General features: G+C 40.3%; 1 protein-coding gene and 1 pseudogene across 59 annotated transcripts in view, besides 5 other annotated features; one reads left to right on the plus strand and one right to left on the minus strand.

The window, feature by feature from the left end:
- Nucleotides 1-27,367, plus strand: part of ADGRL3 (adhesion G protein-coupled receptor L3) — an 878,010-nt gene that overhangs the window by 552,956 nt on the left and 297,687 nt on the right. The gene's annotated exons all lie outside the window — the stretch shown is intronic.
- Nucleotides 10,971-11,561: an enhancer, noted in NCBI's record as "OCT4-NANOG-H3K27ac hESC enhancer chr4:62629970-62630560 (GRCh37/hg19 assembly coordinates)". NCBI's record gives its function as "activates a minimal SCP1, AML or CMV promoter by ChIP-STARR-seq in naive and primed H9 embryonic stem cells {active_cell/tissue: H9 hESC(naive and primed)}" and the evidence as "EXISTENCE:reporter gene assay evidence [ECO:0000049][PMID:30033119]".
- Nucleotides 11,562-12,151: an enhancer, noted in NCBI's record as "NANOG-H3K27ac hESC enhancer chr4:62630561-62631150 (GRCh37/hg19 assembly coordinates)". NCBI's record gives its function as "activates a minimal SCP1, AML or CMV promoter by ChIP-STARR-seq in primed H9 embryonic stem cells {active_cell/tissue: H9 hESC(primed)}" and the evidence as "EXISTENCE:reporter gene assay evidence [ECO:0000049][PMID:30033119]".
- Nucleotides 14,920-15,781: an enhancer, noted in NCBI's record as "NANOG-H3K27ac-H3K4me1 hESC enhancer chr4:62633919-62634780 (GRCh37/hg19 assembly coordinates)". NCBI's record gives its function as "activates a minimal SCP1, AML or CMV promoter by ChIP-STARR-seq in primed H9 embryonic stem cells {active_cell/tissue: H9 hESC(primed)}" and the evidence as "EXISTENCE:reporter gene assay evidence [ECO:0000049][PMID:30033119]".
- Nucleotides 15,782-16,645: an enhancer, noted in NCBI's record as "OCT4-NANOG-H3K27ac-H3K4me1 hESC enhancer chr4:62634781-62635644 (GRCh37/hg19 assembly coordinates)". NCBI's record gives its function as "activates a minimal SCP1, AML or CMV promoter by ChIP-STARR-seq in naive and primed H9 embryonic stem cells {active_cell/tissue: H9 hESC(naive and primed)}" and the evidence as "EXISTENCE:reporter gene assay evidence [ECO:0000049][PMID:30033119]".
- Nucleotides 16,646-17,507: an enhancer, noted in NCBI's record as "OCT4-NANOG-H3K27ac-H3K4me1 hESC enhancer chr4:62635645-62636506 (GRCh37/hg19 assembly coordinates)". NCBI's record gives its function as "activates a minimal SCP1, AML or CMV promoter by ChIP-STARR-seq in naive and primed H9 embryonic stem cells {active_cell/tissue: H9 hESC(naive and primed)}" and the evidence as "EXISTENCE:reporter gene assay evidence [ECO:0000049][PMID:30033119]".
- Nucleotides 22,146-22,985, minus strand: RPS12P9 (ribosomal protein S12 pseudogene 9; annotated as a pseudogene).

Below are 27,367 nucleotides of genomic sequence, written 5' to 3' on the forward strand. Positions count from 1 at the left end.
AAATTCTGTTTTTGATTCCAGAAGGCAGTCACTCAGGATTTCAGGACATTTGGCTCAAAGTGTCTTTAGATGATGGCATGAGAATGGAAGTAGCCATTCAATAAATTTCCTGGCTTGTAGTCTGAATGCCTCTGGTGATGAAAGAGTTACGGTTACTTCTCAGAGCATAGTATGGAAGTTTCCAGTCTCAATGTCCAGGGCTTCTTTAGATATTCCTAACAAGAACCTGAGCAGTAAGGTTTTAACCCTCAGTGGTAACAACTTAAGAGGGTGAGAGAAAAACTGGAAACATTAATTTGAAGAGTTATAATCAGGTATTGGAGGATGCTAGAATTGAGCATGATCTAGTCTACTTTACAGAGACATAACAAAGTTTCAAAGACAGAGAACAGGATTAGATTCTATGTTTGAAATAATATTGGAATAATTTTATTCTCTATAGTTACTTCCAATTCTATCAAAGTAAGACTAATTTGATAGCAAAATAAGTCCAACCCCATTAAACTTTTCCTCATTATTTACATTAGTGCAGCAAGAATGTACTTGACCACATAGGTCCTTTTTTGAATTTGCTTCCCTGGAACTTATGATAAGGAATCTCAGATTAGACTTTTAAAAGCGCCTGGAGGCTAGGATACCAAGCCAATGGACTTGCCATCAGTCTTTGCCTGTGGCACCTATAGATTTGGGTGAAATCCACTCTTCCCAAGATACTCAATGTATTTGGAGGTTCCTGAGCCTGCCGGGAAGTGACCTTCCTTATTCACATGTAAGGCTGAGAATTCTGTAAGCCAGGTCCAAGGCCAGTTTCGAAGGGTCTTTGTAATCATTGGCCCCATGAAATCAAATTTAGTTCCTTAAAACTTTCTAGTCATATCTGATTCTATACATATTATTTTCAAATATGACCTTCCAGTCAAAGGCTTAGCAATATAACCAATGTTTCTAGTTATTTTCTGTTATAAAAAGTACATATTCTTATTGAACTTATTCATATATTTATATTGCCTTGAAAATAAGAATAATCAACAATAGTTTCCAAATCTAGAGAGATCAGGCAGAGAAAACAAATAAATATTTTATTTTTCTTTATAGTTTCCCAGATTGTTGTAAGGTATAGACAGCTTGAGAGAAAAAGAGAAGAAGTTTTCTTTAATTTGAAAAACAAAATATTAAAGAACCAGCAATATCTCAATCAAAAAAGTAATTTAAAAATTATAATATTCCTTATGAGTTCATTTAGTTCCATGTAATTAATTCTTTTTATGCTTGATTGTAACCACCCAATGGGTTCACCTTGCCCACTGCCTAGAAAGATCTGAGTGTATATATATATATTTATTTATTATTATTATACTTTAAGTTCTAGGGTACATGTGCACAATGTGCAGGTTAGTTACATATGTATACATGTGCCATGTTGGTGCGCTGCACCCATTAACTCCTCATTTAACCTTAGGTATATCTCCTAATGCTATCCTTCCCCCCTCCCCCCACACCAAAATAGGCCCAGGTGTGTGATGTTCCCCTTCCTGTGTCCATGTGTTCTCATTGTTCAATTCCCACCTATGAGTGAGAATATGCGGTGTTTGTTTTTTTATTCTTGCGATAGTTTGCTGAGAATGATGGTTACCAGCTTCATGCATGTCCCTACAAAGGACATGAACTCATCATTTTTTATGGCTGCATAGTATTCCATGGTGTATATGTGCCACATTTTCTTAATCCAGTCTATCATTGTTGGACATTTGGTTGGTTCCAAGTCTTTGCTATTGTGAATAGTGCTGCAATAAACATATGTGTGCATGTGTCTTTACAGCAGCATGATTTATAATCTTTTGGGTATATACCCAGTAATGGGATGGCTGGGTCAAATGGTATTTCTAGTTCTAGATCCCTGAGGAATCGCCACACTGACTTCCACAATGGTTGAACTAGTTTACAGTCCCACCAACAGTGTAAAAGTGTTCCTATTTCTCTACATCCTCTCCAGCACCTGTTGTTTCCTGACTTTTTAATGATCACCATTCTAACTGGTGTGAGATGGTATCTCACTGTGGTTTTGATTTGCATTTCTCTGATGGCCAGTGATGATGAGCATTTTTTCATGTGTCTTTCGGCTACATAAATGTCTTCTTTTGAGAAGTGTCTGTTCATATCCTTCGCCCACTTTTTGATGGGGTTGTTTGTTTTTTTCTTGTAAATTTGTTTCAGTTCATTGTAGATTCTGGATATTAGCCCTTTGTCAGATGAGTAGATTGCAAAAATTTTCTCCCGTTCTGTAGGTTGCCTGTTCACTCTGATGGTAGTTTATTTTGCTGTGCAGAAGCTCTTTAGTTTAATTAGATCCCATTTGTCAATTTTGGCTTTGGTTGCCATTGCTTTTGGTGTTTTAGACATGAAGTCCTTGCCCGTGCCTATATCTTGAGTGGTATTGTCTAGGTTTTATTCTAGGTTTTTTATGGTTTCAGGTCTAACATTTAAGTCTTTAATCCATCTTGAATTAATTTTTGTATAAGGTGTAAAGAAGGGATCCAGTTTCAGCTTTCTACATATGGCTAGCCAGTTTTCCCAGCACCATTTATTAAATAGGGAATCCTTTCCCCATTTCTTGTTTTTGTCAGGTTTGTCAGAGATCAGATGGTTGTAGATATGCGGCATTATATCTGAGGGCTCTGTTCTGTTCCATTGATCTATATCTCTGTTTTGGTACCAGTACCATGCTGTTTTGGTTACTGTAGCCTTGTAGTATAGTTTGAAGTCAGGTAGCGTGATGCCTCCAGCTTTGTTCTTTTGGCTTAGGATTGACTTGGCAATGCGGGCTCTTTTTGGTTCCATATGAACTTTAAAGTAGTTTTTTCCAGTTCTGTGGAGAAAGTCGTTGGTAGATTGATGGGGATGGCGTTGAATCTATAAATTACCTTGGGCAGTATGGCCATTTTCACAATATTGATTCTTCCTACCCATGAGCATGGAATGTTCTTCCATTTGATTGTATTCTCTTTTATTTCATTGAGCAGTGGTTTGTAGTTCTCCTTGAAGAGGTCCTTCACATCCCTTGTAAGTTGGATTCCTAGGTATTTTATTCTCTTTGAAGCAATTGTGAATGGGAGTTCACTCACGATTTGGCTCTCTGTTTGTCTGTTATTGGTGTATAAGAATGCTTGTGATTTTTGCACATTGATTTTGTATCCTGAGACTTTGCTGAAGTTGCCTATCAACTTAAGGAGATTTTGGGCTGAGACGATGGGGTTTTCTAGATATATAATCATATCATCTGTAAACAGGGACAATTTCACTTCCTCTTTTCCTAATTGAATACCCTTTATTTCTTTCTCTTGCCTGATTGCCCTGGCCAGAACTTCCAACACTGTGTTGAATAGGAGTGGTGAAAAAGGGCATCCCTGTCTTGTGCCGGTTTCCAAAGGGAATGCTTCCAGTTTTTGCCCATTCAGTATGATATTGGCTGTGGGTTTGTCATAGATAGCTCTTACTATTTTGAGATATGTCCCATCAATACCTAATTTATTGAGAGTTTTTAGCATGAAGGGTTGTTGAATTTTGTCAAAGGCCTTTTCTGCATCTATTGAGATAATCATATGGTTTTTGTCATTGGTTCTGTTTATATGCTGGATTACGTTTATTGATTTGCATATGTTAAACCAGACTTGTATCCCAGGGATGAAGCCCACTTGATCATGGTGGATAAGCTTTTTGGTGTGCTGCTGGATTCGGTTTGCCAGAATTTTATTGAGGATTTTTGCGTCGATGTTCATCAGAGATATTGGTCTAAAATTCTCTTTTTTGGTTGTGTCTCTGCCCGGCTTTTGGTTCAGGATGATGCTGGCCTCATAAAATGAGTTAGGGAAGATTCCCTCTTTTTGTATTGATTGGAATAGTTTCAGAAGGCATGGTACCAGCTCCTCCTTGTTCCTCTGGTAGAATTCGGCTGTGAATCCATCTGGTCCTGGACTTTTTTTGGTTGGTAAGCTATTAATTATTGCCTCAATTTCAGAGCCTGTTATTGGTCTATTCAGAGATTCAACTTTTTCCTGGTTTAGTCTTGGGAGGGTGTATGTGTTGAGGAATTTTTCCATTTCTTCTAGATTTTCTAGTTTATTTGCATAGAGGTGTTTATAGTATTCTCTGATGATAGTTTGTATTTCTGTGGGATCGGCAGTGATATCCCCTTTATCATTTTTTTATTGCATCTATTTTATTCGTCTCTCTTTTCTTCTATTAGTCTTGCTAGCAGTCTATCAATTTTGTTGATCTTTTCAAAAAACCAGCTCCTGGATTCATTGATTTTTTGAAGGGTTTTTTTGTGTCTCTATTTCCTTCAGTTCTGCTCTGATCTTAGTTATTTCTTGCCTTCTACTAGCTTTTGAATGTGTTTGCTCTTGCTTCTCTAGTTCTTTTAATTGTGATGTTAGGGTGTAAATTTTAGATCTTTCCTGCTTTCTCTTGTGGGCATTTAGTGGTATAAATTTCCCTCTACACACTGCTTTAAATGTGTCCCAGAGATTCTGGTATGTTGTGTCTTTTTTCTCGTTGATTTCAAAGAACATCTTTATTTCTGCCTTCATTTCGTTATGTACCCAGTAGTCATTCAGGAGCAGGTTGCTCAGTTTCCATGTAGCTGAGAAGTTTTGAGTGAGTTTCTTAATCCTGAGTTCTAGTTTGATTGCACTGTGGTCTGAGAGACAGTTAGTTATAATTTCTGTTCTTTTACATTTGCTGAGGAGTGCTTTACTTCCAACTATGTGGTCAATTTTGGAATAGGTGCAGTGTGGTGCACAGAAGAATGTATATTCTATTGATTTGGGATGGAGAGTTCTGTAGATGTCTATTAGGTGCAGAGCTGAGTTCAATTCCTGGAAATCCCTGTTAACCTGATTCAATTCCTGGATATCCCTGGACAATCCCTGGATATCCCTGAGTTCAATTCCTGGATATCCCTTTCTGTCTCATTGATCTGTCTAATGGTGACAGTGGGGTGTTAAAAGTCTGCCATTATTATTGCCTGGGAGTCTACGTCTCTTTCTAGGTCTCTAAGGACTTGCTTTATGAATCTGGGTGCTCCTGTATTGGGTGCATATATATTTAGGATAGTTAGCTCTTCTTGTTGAATTGATCCCTTTACCATTATGTAATGTCTTCCTTTTCTCTTTTGATCTTTGTTGGTTTAAAGTCTGTTTTATCAGAGACTAGGATTGCAACCCCTGCCTTTTTCTGTTTTCCATTTGCTTGGTAGATCTTCCTCCATTCCTTTATTTTGAGCCTATGTGTGTCTCTGCATAAGAGATGGGTTTCCTGAATACAGCACACTGATGGGTCTTGACTTTTTATCCAGTTTACCAGTCTGTGTCTTTTAATGGGAGCATTTAGCCCATTTACATTTAAGGTTAATATTGTTATGTGTGAATTTGATCTTGTCATTATGATGTTAGCTGGTGATTTTGCTCATTAGTTGATGCAGTTTCTTCCTAGTCTTGATGGTCTTTACAATTTGGCATGATTTTGCAGTGGCTGGAACCGCTTGTTCCTTTCCATGTTTAGTGCTTCCTTCAGGAGCTCTTGTAGGGCAGGCCTGGTGGTGACAGAATCTCTCAGCATTTGCTAGTCTGTAAAGTATTTTATTTCTCCTTCACTTATGAAGCTTAGTTTGGCTGGATATGAAATTCTGGGTTGAAAATTCTTTTCTTTAAGAATGTTGAATATTGGCCCCCACTGTCTTCTGGCTTGTAGAGTTTCTGCCGAGAGATCAGCTGTTAGTCTGATGGGCTTCCCTTTGTGGGTAACCCTGCCTTTCTTTCTGGCTGCCCTTAACATTTTTTCCTTCATTTCAACTTTGGTAAATCTGACAATTATGTGTTGCTCTTCTCGAGGAGTATCTTTTTGGTGTTCTCTGTATTTCCTGTATTTGAATGTTGGCCTGCCGTGCTAGGTTGGGGAAGTTCTCCTGGATAATATCCTGCAGAGTGTTTTCCAACTTGGTTCCATTCTCCCCATCACTTTCAGGTACACCAATCAGACGTAGATTTGGTGTTTTCACATAGTCCCATATTTCTTGGAGGCTTTGTTCATTTCTTTTTATTCTTTTTTCTCTAAACTTCCCTTCTCGCTTCATTTCATTCTTTTGATTTTCCATCACTGATACGCTTTCTTCCAGTTGATCAGATCGACTACGAGGCTTGTGCATTCGTCACATAGTTTTTGTGCCTTGGTTTTCAGCTCCATCAGGTCCTTTAAGGAGTTCTCTGCATTGGTTATTCTAGTTAGCCATTCGTCTAATTTTTTTTCAAGGTTTTTAATTTCTTTGCCATGGGTTTCAACTTCCTCCTTTAGCTCAGAGTAGTTTGATCATCTGAAGCCTTCTTCTCTCAACTCATCAAAGCCATTCTCCGTCCAGCTTTGTTCCATTGCTGGTGAGGAGCTGCGTTCCTTTGGAGGAGGAGAGGCACTCTGATTTTTAGAGTTTCCAGTTTTTCTACTCTGTTTTTTCCTCATCTTTGTGGTTTTATCTACCTTTGGTCTTTGATGATGACAACATACAGATGGGGATTTGGTGTGGATGTCCTTTCTGTTTGTTAGTGTTCCTCTTAACCATCAGGACCCTCAGCTGCAGGTCTGTTGGAGTTTGCCGGAGGTCTGCTCCAGACCCTGTTTGCCTGGGTATCAGCAGCGGAGGCTGCAGAACATCGGATACTGGTGACCAGCAAATGTTGCTGCCTGATTGTTCCTCTGGAAGTTTTGTCTCAGAGGAGTACCCAGCCGTGTGAGGTGTCAGTCTGCCCCTACCTCCCAGTTAGGCTACTCAGGGGTCAGGGACCCACTTGAGGCAGTCTGTCTGTTCTCAGATCTCCAGCTGCATGCTGGGAGAACCACTATTCTCTTCAAAGCTGTCAGACAGGGACATTTTAGTGTGCAGAGGTTACTGCTGCCTTTTGTTTGGCTATTCCCTGCCCCCAGAGGTGGAGTCTACAGAGGTAGGCAGGCCTTCTTGAGCTGCAGTGGGCTCCACCAAGTTCGAGCTTCCCAGCAGCTTTGTTTACCTACTCAAGCCTCGGCAATGGCGGGCGCCCCTCCCCCAGTCTCGCTGCTGCCTTGCCGTTTGATCTCAGACTGCTGTTCTGGGAATAAGCGAGGCTCCGTGGGCGTAGGACCCTCTGAGCCAGGCACGGGATATAATCTCCTGGTGTGCCATTTGCTAAGACCATTGGAAAAGTGCAGTATTAGGGTGGGAGTGACCCAATTTTCCAGGTGCTGTCTGTCACCCCTTTCTTTGACTAGGAAAGGGAATTCCCTGACCCTTGCACTTCCTGAGTGAGGCGATGCCTCGCCCTGCTTCGGCTCACGCTGGGTGCGCTGCACCCACTGTCCTGCACCCACTTTCCGACACTCCCCAGTGAGATGAGCCTGGTACCTCAGTTGGAAATGCAGAAATCACTCATCTTCTGGGTCGCTCATGCTGGGAGCTCTAGACTGGAGCTGTTCCTATTTGGCCATCTTGGCTCCACCCTCCAAGATCTGTATATTGAGACAGGGAAATTGCAACAGAGAAAGAATAATTCACACAGACCCGGCTGTGTGGGAGACCAGAGTTTTATTATTACTCAGATCAGTCTCCCCAAGCATTTGGGTGTCAGAGTTTCTAAGGACGACTTGGTGGGGGGAAGCCAGTGAACCAGGAGTGCTAATTGGTTAGGTAGGAGATGAAATCATAGGGAATTGAAGCTGTCTTTTTGTGCTGAGTCAGTTCCTGGGTGGGGACCACAAGATCAAATGAGCCACTTTATCAATCTGGGTGATGCCAGCTGGTCCATCAAGTGAAGGTTTGCAAAAACATCTCAAACACTGATCTTAGGAGTAGTTTAGGGAGGGTCAGAATCTTGTAGACTCCAGCTTCATGACTCCTAAACCATAATTTCTAAACTTGTGGCTAATTTGTTAGTCCTACAAAGGCAATCTAGTCTCCAGGCAAGAAGGAAGTTTGTTTTGGGAAAGGGCTGTTATCATCTTTGTTTTAAATTATAAACTAAGTTCCTCCCAAAGTTAGTTCAGCCTATGCCCAGGAAGGAACAAGGACAGTTTGGAGGTTAGAAGCAAGATGGAGCTCAGTTATAATTTTGCATGATCTTGGGTTAGTTTTATGAATAAATCAGATTTTTTAACTAGAGTTCTGGAAATTTTTACCCAGTCAAAGCATATGATCTTATTATTGCCAGAGGCCAGGCATGGGTGGCTCATGCCCTTAGCCCCAGCACTTTAGGAGACTGACACAGGAGGATTGCTTGAAGCGAGGATTTCAATACCAGCCTGAGCAACAAAGCAAGATCCCGTCTCTACACAAAATTTTAAAATTTAGCCAGGCATGGTGGCACACACTTGTAGTCCTGCCACATTGAAAGACTGAGATAGAAGGATTGCTTGAAGCCAGAAGTTCGATACCAGCCTGGGCAACAAAGTGCGACCCCATCTCTACAAAAACAAATTAATTAGCTGGGTGTGGTGGCACATACCTATAGTGTCTCAAATCCTCAGGTGGCTGACGTGAGAGGAGTGCTTGTGCCCAGGAGCTGGAGGCTGCAGTGAGCTATGATCACACCACTATACTCCAGCCTGGGCAACAGAGTGAGACTCTGTCTCTAATAAATAAATAGATAAATAAACAAACAAATAAATAAAATTATCAGAAACCTGTACTTCAGAGTATTTATTAGAGTATGTTTCATGAATTTGTTTGAAGATAGAGCAATTTTGGCCTGCTGCTAATTGTGAACATTTTCAGAGAAGAATCTGAGTAAAACAATAATTGTCTGTAAATGACAAAAGACTTAAAGTGGTCATGGTTAAAGATCTGATAGGAGCTTATTATAATGTGGCATATAATGTTCTAAGATAACTGATTATGAGTGATTTATGTAGACAGAAAGAACATTGACAAATTTCTAGGAATTTCATAAAATTTTTGAAACATTTATATTAAAAATATATAGCCATATAAATACAACTTAAAGAAGGTTAAGCATTACTTTTTATTTGACAATGCTTCTTATGTAATTCAGTATCTCAAATAAATCTAATGAGTTTAACATCTCTCTTTTTACAAGATGAGAGAACATATTATTTAAGATTTTCCAGGGGTGCTCTGGGAAATCACAAAGTTAGTTTTGAGGTCAAAAAGACTATTTAAATTTGATATTGAGGTGCTTGTCAAAAATGTGAAAAGTTTTGAACATGTCATTAAGTAGGCTTACTACTATGAAACAATACTTATTTATTTAACTAGTGTGACAATAAAAGATTTCAAAGGCAAATACCGTAAGTTAAATAACTGTGAAAAAAATTTTAGCTCTTCTAATATTGAGAAAACTTGGTTTTCCTAAGCAAAGATCTGATAAATACAACATGAAGCACAGGAAATTATTTTGCTAAGATACAAAAATCTTTGTTTCCTAAGTAGATTACTTAAAAGATAAAGAGAAATCTCTTATTTTTTAATAAGAACAGACCAATAATCCAAGAAAACTATCATTCTGGTTTTACATCATTATGCTTATAATGTTGTCTCATTTTCTTTAACTTAGAAATAAATCCATTCTATCTTAGCAGCTGGCTACACATAAAATTCTTTTCCTACAAACCCTCTACATGTTTTTTAACATCCATTCAGTTTTGGTGCTACTCTTTTCCTTTTTCTCATTCTGGAACAACCAGTCATTCTACCTTAGGACAAAATTACTCTTTTTTTCCCCTTAAAAAAAGAAATATATGCTTCATACCACATTTCTCTTTTTAAATCAAAAACACATCCTACTTTTCTTGCACACTTTGCATAAAGATTTTTTTTCTTTACTCTTTTTATTCATAGTAGTTTCATTTATTTTTAACCGTTAGTAACATTTCTTTTTTTTTTTTTTTGAGACAGAGTGTTGCTGTGTCACCCAGGCTGGAGTGCAGTGGTGTTATCTTGGCTCACTGAAACCTCTGCCTCCCAGGTTCAAACAATTCTCCTACCTCAGCCTCCCAAGTAGCTGGGACTACAGGTGTGTGCCACCATGTCCAGCTATTTTTTTTTTTTTAGTAGAGACGGGGTTTCACTATGTTAGCAGGCTGGTCTCCATCTCCTGACCTCATGATCCGCCTGCCTCAGCCCTCAAAGTAAGCAACATTTCTTTTTCAGAGAAAACTAGGAAATAGACAATTGTGAATTGCCTGTCATATGTCAGTATTCTGTAGCTGAGTGGCACATTTACGAATATACTATCTTGTGTTTTATAGGTATATGCTATTTCCTCACGGTATAGTTTCTCATGTGTATTAACATACCCAAATATATTTAGTTTCTTTATACTGTATAAAAACAAGATGCCAAAAATACATAAATTTAAATTATGTTCAGTAATGAATGTTTCAGTATTGTATTCTATTTGGAAATTTTGAAACACACACATAAACACTATATACATATATATATAATTTAGCATAATTCTAAGGTTGAAAGTTACTATAAATATTTTTTAGAAACTGAATTTAGGCAGACATAGTATAATACCAAACAAAGCTAACCAACATTTTAACTTATTTCCCTCTTAACTATTTTTAACCTTATTTGGCTACTAAATCCAGTAGAATAAAAATGTATGCTCATATTATACATAATGCTAATAACTCAGAATACATAGCTATTTTTATTAAACCAACCATATTAAACTAATCTTTTATATCAACAAACATATCCAAGTCATGTGAACATGAAAACTTTTCACATTCTGTATTTCCTGGGGTTTCAGGAATATTTATTTTATGTAAATGTTCATTTATCTCTAAGCCAATTTGAATAAACCATTACATAATTTTATAAATTAATTTGGTAACACTATTCAGAAGTAGGAGAGTATCATGTATACATTACGTATACATATACAAGTTTTCATGTGCGTCCGTGTGAAGAGACCACCAAACAGGCTTTGTGTGAGCAACATGGCTGTTTATTTCACCTGGTTGCAGGCGGGCTGAGTTCGAAAAGAGAGTCAGCGAAGGGAGATAAGGGTGGGGCCGTTTTATAGGATTTGGGTAGGTAAAGGAAAATTACAGTCCAAGGGGGTTTGTTCTCTGGCGGGTAGGAGTGGGGGTTGCAAGGTGCTCAGTGGGCAGGAGTGGGGGTCGCAAGGTGCTCAGTGGGGATGCTTTTGGAGCCAGGATGAGCCAGGAAAAGGACTTTCACAAGGTAATGTCATCAGTTAAGGCAAGGACCGGCCATTTACACTTCTTTTGTGGTGGAATGTCATCAGTTAAGGTGGGGCAGGGCATATTCACTTCTTTTGTGATTCTTTAGTTACTTCAGGCCATCTGGGCTTATAGGTGCAGGTCACAGGGGATGTGATGGCTTGGCTTGGGCCCAGAGGCCTGACATTCCTGCCTTCTTAATAAGAAAAATAAAACAAAATAGTGTTGAAGTGTTGGGGCGGTGAAAATTTTTTGGGGGTGGTATGGAGAGAGAATGGTCGATGTTTCTCAGGGCTGCTTCAAGCGGGATTAGGGGCGGCGTGGGAACCTAGAGTGGGAGAGGTTAAGCTGAAGGGAGGTCTTGTGGTAAGGGGTGATATTGTGGGGATGTTAGAAGAAACATTTGTCGTATAGAATGATTGGTGATGGCCTGGATACGGTTTTGGATGAATTGAGAAACTAAATGGAATAACAGAAGGAGAAAAACAGGTATAAAAGGTCTAAGAATTGGGACGACTCAGGATATCTGATTAGAGAGTGCCTAAGGAGATTCAGCATAGTCCTGCCAGCAAAGATTATGTATTTACTTCAAGAGTTAAGAGTGGCAGTTTGGGGATAGCACCAGGAGATATCAGTTGTGATGGCTTGGAAAAACAGTGTAAACCAGCAGTGTAAACAAGAGCAGGGCATGTATGAGTAGTTGAGAACGGTGAATAGGAGTATGACTAGACAGAAGATAGTAGGGATGACAGGTTTTTTGGGGCACAGTCTAAGTTGGTCTGGTGTCTGGAATGAGACTGGAGCCTAATAAAAAGGAGCGTCTATACAGGAGCTTAAATGGGCTGTACCCTGTAGCATTCTGAAGACAGGCCTGAATTCTGAGAAGGGAAAGTGGTAAAAGTATTGTCCAGTCCTTTTTAAGTTGGTGGCTGAGCTTGGTGAGGTGTGTTTTTAAAAGACCTTTAGTCCATTCTACTTTGCTTGAAGACAGAGGACCGTAAGGGATATAAAGGTTTCACTGAATACTAAGAGCCTGAAAAACTGCTTGGCTGATTTGACTGATAAAGGCTCGTCTGTTATCAGACTGTATTGAGGTGGGAAGGCTAAACTGAGGAATTATGTCTGACAGAAGGGAATAAATGACTGCGGTGGCCTTCTCACACCCTGTACACACCCTGTAGGAAAGGCCTCTACCTATCCAGTGAAATTATCTACCTAGACTAAGAGGTATTTTAGTTATCTGACTAAGGGCATGTTGAGTAAAGCTAATTTGCCAGTCCTGGGTGGGGCAAATCCTCGAGCTTGATGTGTAGGGAAGGGAGGGGGCCTGAATAATCCCTGAGGAGTAGTAGAATAGCAGATGGAACACTGAGCAGAATAGCAGATGGAACACTGAGAAGTTATTTCTTTGAGGATAGATTTCCATGATGGAAAGGAAATGAGAGGTTCTAAGAGGCGGGCTAGTGGCTTGTACTATAGCATCATCTGCCTTTGCTGGTGTGTGGCGATTAGGCCTGGTGGAACTGCCATCAATAAATCAAGCGTGATCAGGGTGAGGAACAGGAAAGAAAGAAATTTGGGGAAATGGGGTTAATGTCAGGTGGATCAGAGAGATACAGTCATGGGGGTCAGGTGTGGTATCAGGAATAATGTGGGAGGTAGGATTGAAGTCTGGGCCAGGAACAACGGTAATTGTGGGAGACTCAACAAAGAGTGGGGTATAGCTGAAGGAGCCGGGAAGCAGAAAGTATATGCATCAGGTATGAGGAAGAAAATAGATTTTGGAAGTTATGAGAACTGTAGAGAGTGAGTTGAGCATAGTTTGTGATTTTGAGGGCCTCTAAAAGTATTAATGCAGCGGCAGCAGCTGCATGCAGACATGAGGGCTAGGCTAAAACAGTAAGGTCAAGTTGTTTGGACAGAAAGGCTACAGGGTGTGGTCCTGGCTCTTGTGTAAGAATTCTGACCTCGCTAACCATGCCTAGGAAGGAAAGGAGTTGTTGTTTTGTAGAAGGTGCTTGGGTTTGAGAGATCAGTCGGACACGATTGGCAGGGAGAGCACGTGTGTTTTTATGAGAATTATGCCAAGATAGGTAACAGATGAGGAAGAAATTTGGGCTTGATTGAAGTAATGGGGGCTGTCTGTGAAGCTTTGCGGCAGTACAGCCTAGGTAATTTGATGAGCTTGATGGGTGTCAGGGTCAGTCCAAGTGAAAGCGAAGAGAGGCTGGGATTAAGGGTGCAAAGGAATAGCAAAGAAAGCATGTTTGAGATCTAGAACAGAATAATGGGTTGTAGAGGCAGGTATTGAGGATAGGAGAGTATATGGGTTTGGCACCACGGGGTGGATAGGCAAAACAATTTGGTTGATGAGGCGCAGATCCTGAACAAACTTGTAAGGCTTGTCTGGTTTTAGGACAGGTAAAATGGGGGAATTGTAAGGAGAGTTTATAGGCTTTAAAAGGCCATGCTGTAGCAGGCGAGTGATAACAGGCTTTAATCTTTTTAAAGTGTGCTGTGGGATGGGATATTGGCGTTGAGTGGGGTAAGGGTGATTAGGTTTTAATGAGATGGTAAGGGGTGCATGATTGGTCGCCAAGGAGGGAGTAGAGGTATCTTATACTTGTGGGTTAAGGTTGGGGGATACAAGAGGAGGACCCAAAGGAGGCTTTGGATTGGGAAGAAGAGCAGCAATGAGATATAGCTGTAGTCCAGGAATAGTCAGGGAAGCAGATAATTTAGTTAAAGTGTCTCAGCCTAATAAGGGAACTGGGCAGGTGGGGACAACTAAAAAGGAGTGCTTAAAAGAGTATTGTCTAAGTTGGCACCAGATGGGGAGTTTTAAGAGGTTTAGAAGCCTGGCCATCAATACCCACAACAGTTATGGAGGCAAGGGAAACAGACCCTTGAAAAGAACGTAATGTGGAGTGAGTAGCCTCCGTATTGATTAAGAAGGGGACGGGCTTACCTTCCACTGTGAGAGTTACCCGAAGCTCGGCGTCCGTGATGGTCTAGGGGGCTTCCGAGGCAATCGGGCAGTGTCAGTCTTCAGCCGGTAAGCCAAGAAGGAGTCAGTCAGAGAGCCTTGGGCCAGAGTTCCAGGAGCTCTGGGAGTGGCTGCCAGGTGAGTTGAACAGTCCAATTTTCAGTGGGGTCCCACACAGATGGGACGTGGCTTAGGAGGAATCCTGGGCTGCGGGTGTTCCTTGGCCCAGTGGCCAGATTTCCGGCATGTGTAGCAAGTTCCTGGGGGAGGAGGTTCTGGAGGAACGCCTGGCTGCTACAGTTCAGGCGTTTGGAAGTTCTTGTGTGCTGGAGATGTGGCTGAGGTTTGTCTCACAGTGGAGGCAAGGAATTGCAACTTTTTTCTGTTATTGCACACCTTGAAGGTGAGGTTAATTAAGTCCTGTTGTGGGGTTTGAGGGCCAGATTCTAGTTTTTGGAGTTTTATTTAATGTCGGGAGCAGATTGGGTAATAAAATGTATATTGAGAATAAGACGGCCTTTTGACCTTTTAGGGGCTAGGGCTGTAAAGTGTCTCAGGGTTGCTGCCAAACGAGCCATGAACTGGGCTGGATTTTTATATTTGATGAAAAAGAGCCTAAACGCTATCTGATTTGGGATAAAGAAAAAGGAGCATTAACCTTGACTATGCCTTTGGCTCCAGCCACCTTTTTAAGAGTAAATTGCTGGGCAGGTCGGGGAGGGCTAGTCACAGAAGGAAACTGTAAGCCAGACCAGGTGTGAGGAGGGGAGGCAATAAAAAGATTACAGGGTGGAGGAGCGGAGGCTGAGGAAGAATTGGGGCCTAGCTTGGCCTGTCGAGGAGGGGAGAGGTCAGATGGGTCTGTAGAAAAGGAAGATTAGAAAGACTCAGCGACGCTTGGGGTCGGTACTGAGGGGACAGGAGGGAGGGAAAGAAGGAAGATTTGGGACGAGTTGCACTGGGCACAGAGGCTAGGAAGGAACTGATGTGTAAAAGAATGCCTGGACTTCAGGCACCTCAGACCATTTGCCCATTTTACGACAAGAATTATTTAGATCTTGTAGGGTGGAAAAATTGAAAGTGCCGTTTTCTGGCTATTTGGAACTACTCTTGAGTTTGTATTGGGGTCAAGCGGCATTGCAGAAGAAAATAAGACTCTTAGATTTTAGGTCAGGTGAGAATTGAAGAGGTTTTAAGTTCTTAAGAATACAGGCTAAGGGAGAAGAAAGAGGAATGGAAGGTGGAAGCTTGCCCATAGTGAAGGAGGCAAGCCCAGAGAAAAGAGTAGAGGCACGGAGAAGGGGTGGGGGTTTCTTCCCCTCCAGAAAAGCAGAGAAAGGGCTGGGACACGGAAATAAGGGATTGGGGCACAGAGATAAGAGGTCAGGGTGCGGAAATAAGGGATTGGGGTGCAGAGATAAGAGGTTGGGGTGTGGAAATACGCGATTGGGGCACAGAGATAAGAGGTTGGGGTGTGGAAATAAGTGATTGGGGGGTTCTTGCCCCCTAGGAAAGCGGGACTTGCCGCTAAGGGTGAAGGAGAAGGGGTTGAGGGGTACTTGCCCCTGCCCCAGGAAAGCGGGACTTGCCGCTAAGGGTGAAGGACCAAGGCAGGCGTCCCTGCGTGGTCTGACACCCTTGAAACGTGAGTGTATAATCAGAGAGGCGTCCCTGCAATGATTAAATACCAAGGGAAGGCTGCCTTCCCAGTCCGTGACTGGCGCCGGAGTTTTGGGTTCACGGATAAAACATGTCTCTTTTGTCTCTACCAGAAAATGAAAGGAATTGAAATTAAGAGAAGGGAGAGATTGAAGTGTGGCGCCAAGATTGAAAGGAGAAAGAGGTTGAGGGATAGTGAGGGAGGTTGGAGAAGAGAGTAAAAAGAGGCCGCTTACCGGATTTGAAATTGGTGAGATGTTTCTTGGGCTGGTCGGTCTGAAGACCTGAGGTCGTAGGTGGATCTTTCTCACGGAGCAAAGAGCAGGAGGACAGGGGATTGATCTCCCAAGGGAGGTCCCCCGATCCGAGTCACGGCACCAAATTTCATGCGCGTCCATGTGAAGAGACCACCAAACAGGCTTTGTGTGAGCAACATGGCTGTTGCTCACTTCACCTGGGTGCAGGCAGGCTGAGTCCGAAAAGGGTCAGTGAAGGGAGATAAGGGTGAGGCCGTTTTATAGGATTTGGGTAGGTAAAGGAAAATTACAGTCCAAGGGGGTTTGTTCTCTGGCGGGTAGGAGTGGGGGTTGCAAGGTGCTCAGTGGGCAGGAGTGGGGGTCGCAAGGTGCTCAGTGGGGGTGCTTTTGGAGCCAGGATGAGCCAGGAAAAGGACTTTCACAAGGTAATGTCATCAGTTAAGGCAAGGACTGGCCATTTACACTTCTTTTGTGGTGGAATGTCATCAGTTAAGGTGGGGCAGGGCATATTCACTTCTTTTGTGATTCTTTAGTTACTTCAGGCCATCTGGGCGTACAGGTGCAGGTCACAGGGGATACGATGGCTTGGCTTGGGCTCAGAGGCCTGACACAAGTAAACCTAAATATACATAGCCATACAGACAGCTTCAAACAGAGATCTTAGAGTTTTATTCTAAAATTTTAGTCATGATTCAGTAAAACGTATTAGTAAAAAATTACTGGTTTATCTCCACTTTACATTTGTATCCAAATTGTATTTCTGGAAAATGGGACAAGTTAGGGTTACCTGTTTACCTACATTTATAGAGGAGGCTTTTAAGATTTTTGTTTATTGTTGATAAGTAATTTTCTGGAAGTTGTGGACTAAATTTTGGGAGATGGACACTGAAGCAGTTTGTTTTCAAAACGCCTATTATTTTTTTTCCTTTTGTTTAGAAGCAAGAGTTATCTCCCAGGAAGTTTGCATAGCAAAAAGATCACCCGCAGGTCCTAGAGAGGACAGGGTCAAATATTTATGTCTGAAAGGCACAAAGAAAGGATGTATGGTTTCTCTGAGGGCATTTTGAGGCATATCTATTATCATAGATTTAAGGTATTATTTTCTAAGTGCAGGACAATTATATTTCCAATGTTTTGACTTTTTAAAGTATCTGCAAGCATCTTGATATGAACAGGAGAGATTTGGGGATTGTTAAGAAGGATGGGTGGGCTTTGAATTGCTCCTAGTGCTGCATTTCTGTTTGTATAGACTCAATTTGTAAGACAATGGTAGTTGTTTTAAACTCTTCAGAAAACTGTGTTGCAGCTGGAATAATAAAGAGGCTGACCTACCTATCAAATTACATTATCTTGAATTTGCTACTTCATATCGGAGAACATATTTCCAACTAAAATGGAAATAAAGATCCCTATGAGTTGCATGCCTTTAGAAAGTTTTAATAAATTGTTACACAAAGCCTTTCTAATGTTCTTTCTCTCTAAGTGATGCGGGGTTTTTCCTCCTTAGCTCAACTAGATTTGGGTTCTTTTCTCACAACCAAGAATAATTAGGCACAAGGTCATCAAAGAGTGAGTGGAGCAGAATTTATTAAGCAAAAGGAAAGGTCTCAGCAAAAAACAAAAAGGGGTCCTGAAAGCAGGTTTCCAGTTGCTTCCTTCACAGTTGAATACAAGGGCTTAAGGTGTGAATTCTACCCCATCCTTCCAGTGCACATGTGGGTCCTTAGACTGAGTCCCTCCATATTGATTTATTTCTCTTACTGCACATGTGTTAAGGAATGGAATTTTCCACTGTGGGCATGTTTAGGCAAGACCCCTGTGCAAGTTCCCTTATCTGCACAAAACATCTGGTATAAATGCTTGTGGGGTGGGTTGGAAGTTCTCCAGGGACCCTTCCCTTACTGTCTGCCTAAAGCAAGCTGGATAACTCCTTTCATAACTGCATAATTCCATATTAGGAGAGAAGGCCTCAAAAATAGTTCCTCTCAGGCTCTGAAGATCAGCCTCCAGTTAAGCCCATTTCCGACCATAGAGTATTTTGAACAAAAAAATCCTTTCAAATATGATTGTCAGGTTTTGAATGGGACAAACAGTAAATTTTCCTGACACAATTGAATCCCCTTTTGTCCCCTAATTACAAAGACCCAGAAGAGATGGACCCTTTTCCTTTAATTAGTTATTTTTTTAGAGATCAAGAACTCATTGTGTTGCCTAAACTGGTCTCAAACTCCTGGGCTTAAACAGTCCTTCTGCCTCAGCCTCCCAAAGAGCAGGGATTACAGGCATGAGCCAACCACAACCACTCCCCACCACCTTTTTTAAACCAAAGGGGTATCTATTCCATGTGACTCAAAATCAAAATCAATAAGCCTTTTATAGGCTAACCACAGATACAAGAGACTTCCCCAGAGAGGGTGCAAAAGAAGCCACCCTCATGATCCAGTGCCACTACCAAAGATAGAAGAATGACACATGTAGACAAAACCTCCTACAAGCTAGTCATGCCAGTAGGATATCAGCTGCAAATGGGGTGCAGCCCACATTTCTGTTCAGCCATCTTCATATCTCAGGGCCCCTATCTAACAGTTGGCTACCTACAGATGCAGGCCTGACAGTCTGTGTGCCCTGACAGGTGTAAAGTCAAGCCAAGCTCTCAAGATATAAAGTGAGACAAATAGGAACGCCATGGCTGTCCTGGGAGGAAAAGGATCAATAATCACTGAGTACTTAGAACCAAATTTGTGAGAGTCACAATTCAAAGGAATAATTCTTACAAATTTCTCCTGCTAATCTGAATTTGGAAAGGACTGGATAGGAAAAAAAATCTTACCTTCCCTCTCCACTGGCCACTGCAGGTAGAGATCCAGGAAACTGACTCAGTAAGAATTCTTTGCTGGCTTAGTCAGTGGCAGCCCCAGAGTTGTTGAGTGACCTAGCCAATGCAGTCCCATCCTCATCACCAGAAACTGCAGAGAAGGAAAACAATATTTTCATTCTATCCATCTACATTCTTGGCTGGGACTCTGTAACCAAAGACATTAACAATAGAAAAATATACACATTTATTTAATTTAAGTTTTACACGACATGAGAGACTTCCTAAGGAAATGAAGACCCCCCAAAATGGTTAAACCTGAGTATTTTTATGTGAGATTTGATGAAGTGTGCAGTTATGAAAAAGTGTGATAGGGCAAAGTATGGGTTAAGTGAAATAAACTGGGGGAAATTTAGCAAAGCCTATTCATTCTGATTCCTCTTTCCCCTCCATCTTTGGAGATAAAGATGCCCCTTTCCACTGGGTATATGAAGGGCAGCTCTCATTTGAGTTTCTTATAAAATGCTTCAGGAGAAAATCAGAGATACCCTCCTGCATTTGCCATTTCTCAATTTCTTCAGCTTAAAATATTCAATGTGTCAGAGCTCTGTATTATGGGGTAGTGTGTTCTCAACCTCCTCACCTACTAAAACCCATGTTTTCCTACCTTGTATTACCATGTTTTAAAATATTATGTTTAAAATACCCTGTTTAAAAAATACCATGTTTTACATACCTGGTATATTGGAAATCTACTTCTAAGTTTTCTTCCTAGGGAAACTCTCATACTTGTGTGCAAAGACATGCATAAGGTGTTCATTACAATGATGCTTAAAATAGCATAAAAGTCGATCATACTGAACTGTTCTTCAGTAAAAGGTTACGGGGTAGAATAGGGAAGAAAGAAAGAGCACAGTTTACATGCACTTGTCCAGGTGGATAATACCGAGCTGGAGAAGACTTGAATCTGACAATCATCTGCACTAGCACCAGAGACTTTTTAAGCCCTGGACAACATGAAACATAGAGAAAAGCATTATGTGATCAGTTATCCCTTAGTAATATACTAAATCAAATATTGGTATATATGAAATAATGAATAAGAATTGATCTTATACTGGAGTTTTCTTTTTCCTAGTACTATTGTCTCATTCGGCCTCAAGCTGCAATAATAATGCAAAACAATCCAGATTATAACCTCCTAAAGCACCAGCAACCTTTTATTCCTATAATTCTTTCCACCAAATTATTACATTGTTAATAAAAGAAGCCCTCACTTTTCCGAAAAGTAAAATTTTATTCTGAAATTTTAATGGAGTGTGGCCTATAAGAATAACTGCCATGCGTTGCAGGTACTGTGCTTATTAAACAATTCTTGATATTTTAATTTCTTAAAAAAATATTTTTATACCACTGTAGGCAAGGAAAAAAACCCTTTTTCCTTCTAACTTAGGTTCATTGGTGGGGCCCAGCAAATTAGACTGACAAAAGACAGATTAACAAGAGAAAAACAGGAGTTTATTAAGGAGTTCTTCATGGATGCACATGGGAGAACTCTGATGAGTAACTCAACGGGGTGATTGGAATTTAGGGCTATATAGCATCTAAACAAAAAAACAACAGATTTTGTAGAGAAGTGGCAAGACAAAGGAAAAGAACTTTGAGCTTGTAAGGGCAGCAAATTGTGGGAAGGTAAATATATGCGGGAAACTAATGGAACATGAGAGCTACAGTAGTTCCCCCTTATCTGCAGTTTTGCTATCCGCAGTTTCAGTTACCTGCGGTCAACCGAGGTCTGCAAACAGGTGAGTAAACAACATCAGATCAAAAATATTCAGGAAACAGGCCGGGCATGGTGCCTCATGCTTGTAATCCCAGCACTTTGGGGCTGAGGCAGGAGGATCACCTAAGGTCAGGAGTTCAAGACCAGCCTGCCCAACACAGTGAAACCCTGTCTCTACTAAAAATACAAAAAAATTAGCAGGGCACGGTGGCAGGTACCTATAATCCCAGCTACTCAGGAGGCTGAGGCAGGAGAATCACTTGAACCTGGGAGGCGGAGGTTGCAGTGAGCCAAGATCGCGCCATTGCACTCCAGCCTGGGCAACAAGAGCAAAACTCTGTCTCAAAAAAAAAAAAAAGAAAGAAAAAGAAAAAATTCAGGAAAGGGAAACATAAAAAAAAAATAAAAATAAAAAATAATACGATTTTTTAGAAAAACAATACAGTATAACAACTGTCTAAATTATATTTACATTGTATTAGTGATTATAAGTAATGCAGAGATGATTTAAACTGTATGGGAGGATGTGTGTAGGTTATATGCAAATACTATACCATTTTATATCAGGGACTTAAGCATCCACAGAAAATCCCCGAGAAGATCAGGAACCAATACTATGTGGATACAGAAAGATGACTGTATGGTACAATATAATATTTTGAGAGAAAGAGAGACTGTATTCATATAATTTGTATTGCAGTATATTGTTATAATTGTTCTATTTTATTATAAATTATTGTTGTTAATCTCTTACTGTGCCTAATTTATAAATTAAACTTTGTTATAGGTGTGTATGTATGGGGAAAAACCTGGTATGTGTACTATTTGCTGCTATCGGTTGTTTCAGGCATCCACTGGGGGGCCTTGGGACACATTCTCCACGGATAAGAGGAGACTGCTGTAGTTAGTAAGGTTTATTATGTGGATTCTTCTGGTGCCGTCTCCAGGCTGATAAAGGTTTAAAGTTGTCTCTGGTGATTAACTTCTATTTTTCCTAGTAGAGAGGAGAGAGGGGATACCTTTGTAAATTTGTAGTCTGCTTAGAGCTTGCCTTGTATCTATTTCCAATTGTCTTCAGTTCAAAATCATCAATATGCCAAGTGGCATATTTTGGGGCAGCATATTCTGCTACTTTTCATAACCTTCACTGAATTATCCCCCAAGTATGAATATATTGACTTGCCAGATGGTCTGGATTCCTATGACAGCTTTTTTTTTTTTTTTAACTAAAAGCTTTCAGGAACATGGCAAAGTAGCTCAGTGGATGAACAAGACTATTGATTTAGCTGATAATGTTCTAGAGTTAAGAATTTGAAATACCATGACACAAATTCAAGTTCCCAGTTTTACAGTAATGGAAAAGCTAAAATTTTCTTTTTTTTCTTTCTTTGTGTGTGTGTGTGTGTGTGTGTGTGTGTGCCAAAGATTTATGTCTTCATTTCTTGCATTTGAAGTACTCTTCGATGACATCCTTGGCCTGAGACTCCTTGCCATAGTCCTTAACTACTGCACAACTGCAACCAACCACTTTATGAGGCTTCCCCTCTCTGTCAGTTTTACAGAGGCCTACCCTTTCCCCTAGTTTCTTGTTGTCATCAACCTTAATTAGGTTGATTTGGTGTTCAGCACAAAGGGCCTCCACCAACTTGACATACATCACAGGCTCATCACAGTTGGATGCAAGCACACAAAGGTGGGCTTGGTGCTTGTCTAAGCCTTTGGTAGCTTCATGAATTCCACGTGCTAGGCAATCGTGGATGAGGGCAGTCTTCAGCACCTCCTGTAAAGCAGTATTAACGTCCATTACGCTTCCAGCAGCAATACCTTCCTCGGCCATGGCGGTGGGTTACCGGTGAAGACGAATCTTGTTTTTATTTATTTATTTATTTATTTATTTATTTTTTTGAGACGGAGTCTCACTCTGTCGCCCAGGCTGGAGTGCAGTGGCACGATCTCGGCTCACTGCAAGCTCCGCCTCGAGGGTTCATGCCATTCTCCTGTCTCGGCCTCCCGAGTAGCTGGGACTCCAGGCGCCCGCCACCACACCCGGCTAATTTTTTGTATTTTTAGTAGAGACGGGGTTTCACTGTGTTAGCCAGGATGATCTCGATCTCCTGACCTTGTGATCCACCCGCCTCGGCCTCCCAAAGTGCTGGGATTACAGGCGTGAGCCACGGCGCCAAGCCCTGAAGCCGAATCTTAAACGCACCCAAGCCTCCGCCTCTGCACGACTCGGCGGCAGCAGGGAAAGAGGCCTCACGCGCCGAAAAGGTAAAATTTTCTAAACCTAACAGTGAGCAAGAAGACTATTATATGTGAATGAAGTAGGGGTTTTGAGTTCTTTATTTTATTTTTTTTACTACTAAAACAAGATAACCAGAAAAGATTTATAAAAGTTTTAAATTTCAGGACAGAATTCACATAAGAAATTGAATATCTGAAATAATCACTTAGTTGAAGTAAATTATATGTTGGGGTCAGGGTCTGAAATCAACTATTAAAGTTTAGTATAATCAAAATTATTTTTGAAACTTCTTCAATAGATCATAAAATCTACTGAATTTTAAAAAATATATTCCTATGTGCTGTACAGATATTATTATATATTATTGCACAAAGTATGGAGTACATAATGAAAAGTATCTTTACAAAGTATAATTTTATAGTATTGTAATAACATAAAAGAACTACTTGAATTTATGTAAATTAAATGTATCTGTGATGAAATCCTCTGTATTAAGAAAAAGAAAATTCAGTTGCTATTTCTGTGTTGATAAATCTTTTCCGTGAGAACTTTTTCCCAAAACAATGCATCAACAAGAGTCTTCTTGAATGTATTGATTTATACTTTTCCATTAAAGTTGTATGCAATTATTAGATCACTTACTAAGTGTGTCAACAGTGCGACTATTAAATAAACATATATAATGATCTGAGAAATGTTCATTATATATTGCTATTGTTTTTGAAAGCAGGTTAAATGATTTGGAATTTAGATCTTTATTCATTTCCTTGCTTTTGTTTATATTTGAAAATTTCTGGCCAGGTGTGCTGGCTCACGCCTGTAACCCAGCACTTTGGGAGGCCGAGGTGGGTGGATCATGAGGTGAGGAGATCGAGACCATCCTGGCTAACACGGTGAAACCCCGTCTCTACAAAAATACAAAAAATTAGCCGGGCGTGGTGGCGGGCACCTGTAGAACCAGCTACTCGGGAGGCTGAGGCAGGAGAATGGCCTGAACCTGCGAGGCGGAGCTTTCAGTGAGCAGAGATCGCGCCACTGCACTCCAGCCTGGGCCATAGAGCCCAAGACTCCATCTCAAAAAAAAAAAGAAAATTTCTCTAAAAAAAGGTTTTTTAATTACTCACTATATACCTTTTTATTTTATGTAGTACATGCTTTTACTACATGTGATCCAAAGGTTTAATGGTACTAAATGTTTGAGTAGTTCAGATTTGAGCTCTTCTGTATTATACCAAACATTTTAGTGAATATATTCAGTCTTTGAAATTTTGAAATAAATTTCTGAAGATTAATCTAATAATTCACGTGAACACAGGACTGATAGTTCACTTAGAATTCCATGAAGGAATGTATAAACTGCTAATTTTGTTCAGGACAGTTATCCAGCTAACTAATTGGCACCTCCTCGTCATTAGGACACACAAATTCCCGGGAAAGTGCCAAAGTACTACTGTGAAAATAAAACTGCAAGAGAAGAGCCTTACTCTATTTCTAGTATTTATTATTTATTTATTTATTTGCTAAGGAAGAAAAAAATGCAGTTCTTAAAAGTTTTGAGTATCGCTAGGGGATTTGCTTCTGTCTGTTTATTAAATAGCCCTGAAAAAGTATGTAACACATTGAATCTACTCTCCTAGGGAAACATAGGATAACAAAGTGGGTTGGTCTTTCACTCCAGAGACTTAAGAAAGAGTTCTAGTGTCATGTCAGATTGAGCATCTCTAACGTGAAAATTAGAAATCTGAAATGCTCCAAAATCTAAAACTTTTTGAGTGTCAACAACCTCCCACAAAAGGAAAATTCCATACCTGACCTCATGTGATAGATTGTGGTCAAAAGACTGTCAAAACTTTGTTTCATGCACAAAATTGTTAAGTACATTGTATAAAATTACCTTCAGGCTGTGTGTATAAGATACTGATGAAACATAAATGAATTCCATGCTTAGACTTGGATCCCATCCCCAAGATATCTCAAATATGTATTTACAACTATTCCAAACTCTGGAAAAATCTGAAATCCAAAATGCTTCTGGTCCCACACATTTCAGAGAAGGAATACTCAACCTTTATTTGGTTGAGCGGTACTCTCTATTGACTTTCACATTTGAACATTTCAAACAAACAGCTTTCACCAGTTGTTTGTAAGGACAAACGTGGAAAAACATTAAAAGAAAACCGTTAAGTGTAAAAATGCCAACATTGAATTTGAATAAAAGAAGAGTCAACCATTCTAACCAGAGGTGAAACTTTAAAATTTTTGCTTTCAGCTTTCACAATAAAACAGGTAAAAATTGCCTATCTGCAACATTCGGTTTTTTAAAATTTATCCAACTATGCCCTTTTTATGTTGTACTTACATTCCCTTGGAAGGAATAGGTGGGTATATTCATCGAACCTTGTTATTATTAATATTAACCATTAGTATTGACAGCCTAATATTGAGTGAATCCTTTTGATGAGAGAAGCACTACTGATGGTCATTATCATGGTGTAATAATATTAAAAATCATTTGTAAGCTGGGCGTGGTGGATCCCGCCTGTAATCCCAGCACTGTGGGAGGCCAAGGCAGGTGGATCATTTGAGGTCAGGAGTTCAAGACCAGCCTGGCCAACATGGCGAAACGCCATCTCTACTAAAAATACAAAAATTAGCTGGGCACGGTGGTGGGCATCTGTAATCCCAGCTACTTGGGAGGCCGAGTTAGGAGAACCGCTTGAACACAGGAAGCAGAGGTTGCAGTGAGCCAAGATCATGCCATTTGACTCAAGCCTGGGTGACAGAGGGAGACTCTGTCTCAAAAAAAAAAAAAATCACTTGTAGAGGAAATATTAGAATGTTTTACTACAATGTTATGTAATTATTTGGGGAGTCAAATAATTTTGTTTAGTGATCAGTGAGTTTAAATTATTTGGTAAATTAGAAGTGTCCTATCATATTCATTTGTATAATCAAACCTATGTGCATATAGATTACACTTAACTGAATTTTTTTTTAAGGACTGTTACAAAGAAAAATTGTCAGGTCCCACCTTAGACTGAATCTGAAACTCTGCGGGGGGGTGGAGCCCAGCAATCTACTTGTAACAAGCTGCTTAAATTTGAGAATTATTGCCTGTAATCCCAGCTCTTTGGGAGGACTAAGTGAGTGGATCACCTGAGGTCAGGAGTTTGAGACCAGCCTGGCCAACATGGTGAAACCCTGTTCTCTATTAAAAATACAAAAATTAGCCGGGCATGGTGGCAGGCACCTGTAATCCCAGCTACTCAGGAGGCTGATGCACGAGAATTGCTTGAACCCAGAGGTGGAGGTTACAGTGAGCCGAGATCCAGCACTGAGCCACCCAGCCTCGGTGCTGCAGTAAGACTCTGTCTCAAAAAAAAAAAAAAAAAAAAAAAAAAAGGGAGAGAATTATTGTGTATTCCATAGCTACTACTAGGTTAGTATAAGCTACAAAATATAGTAAAAATATGTTAAACTGTTTTTTGTGTTTTAAATTTCTGTGACTATTTTTGTTGATTGCCTTTATAAAGATGTTTATGTAGATGTTTCTGAATCTCCTAATGACTAATTAGATGTTTCTAAATTTCCTATCTAATGCAAGGAGGCTATATAAATCACCCCGGGATCATGTTAAAATGCTGATTTTCTGTCTCTCCCACATCCCATCAAATCAGAGCCCTAAGATGTGTTGATTCAGTATTTGAAGTAAGGCCCTGGGTCAGTATATTTTTTATGGTGATTCTGGGTTTGGAAAAGAATCCCTGTTCTCGACTTCCTAACATTTAATTGAATTTGTATCTTAGCATGAGTAAGTGTATTAATCTATTAAGAAGCTGTGGAGCAATATATATATACTACCTTCCTCTCTAGACTTAGGCTGCTCAGGCAGTGAAGCACATCAGTTTGTTTTAGTAAATGACCCTGTTTTGTGTCCTCACAGAATTACTGCCTGTATGGTTGACAGAGAAGAGCAGCCGCCTGATATAGGATGGACATGTCCCTCACAGGCTTATCTTGGCCAGACAGAATGCCATTTATCCTCACCTTGAATAGCTGTAATCAATTAACACAGTGAGAAGAGCAATGAGACTCTAGGCAGTCATGCAGTGTTTTGATCTGTTCATATGTTGGAGGCGGGAGAGGTGAAAAATGGACAAAAAGACAAATTAGACCTGTTAGTATAGGTTAAAGGAATTTAGAAAAGGAACCAATAGGCTTCTATTCTCACCATGGGCAATACCTTGGATTTCCATATTTTAACTTAAGGCAAAGGTTATGTTTCATACTCAAAAATAGGAACAGGTAGAACTTCAATTTTTCATGTATGTTTGTAATTTTCTCAGTGTACTAACTCATAGTCTATAACACATGATGGATACCTTCTTCC

Source organism: Homo sapiens, chromosome 4 (assembly GCF_000001405.40).
Source record: "Homo sapiens chromosome 4, GRCh38.p14 Primary Assembly".
In the NCBI taxonomy this organism is placed as follows: Eukaryota; Metazoa; Chordata; class Mammalia; order Primates; family Hominidae; genus Homo; species Homo sapiens.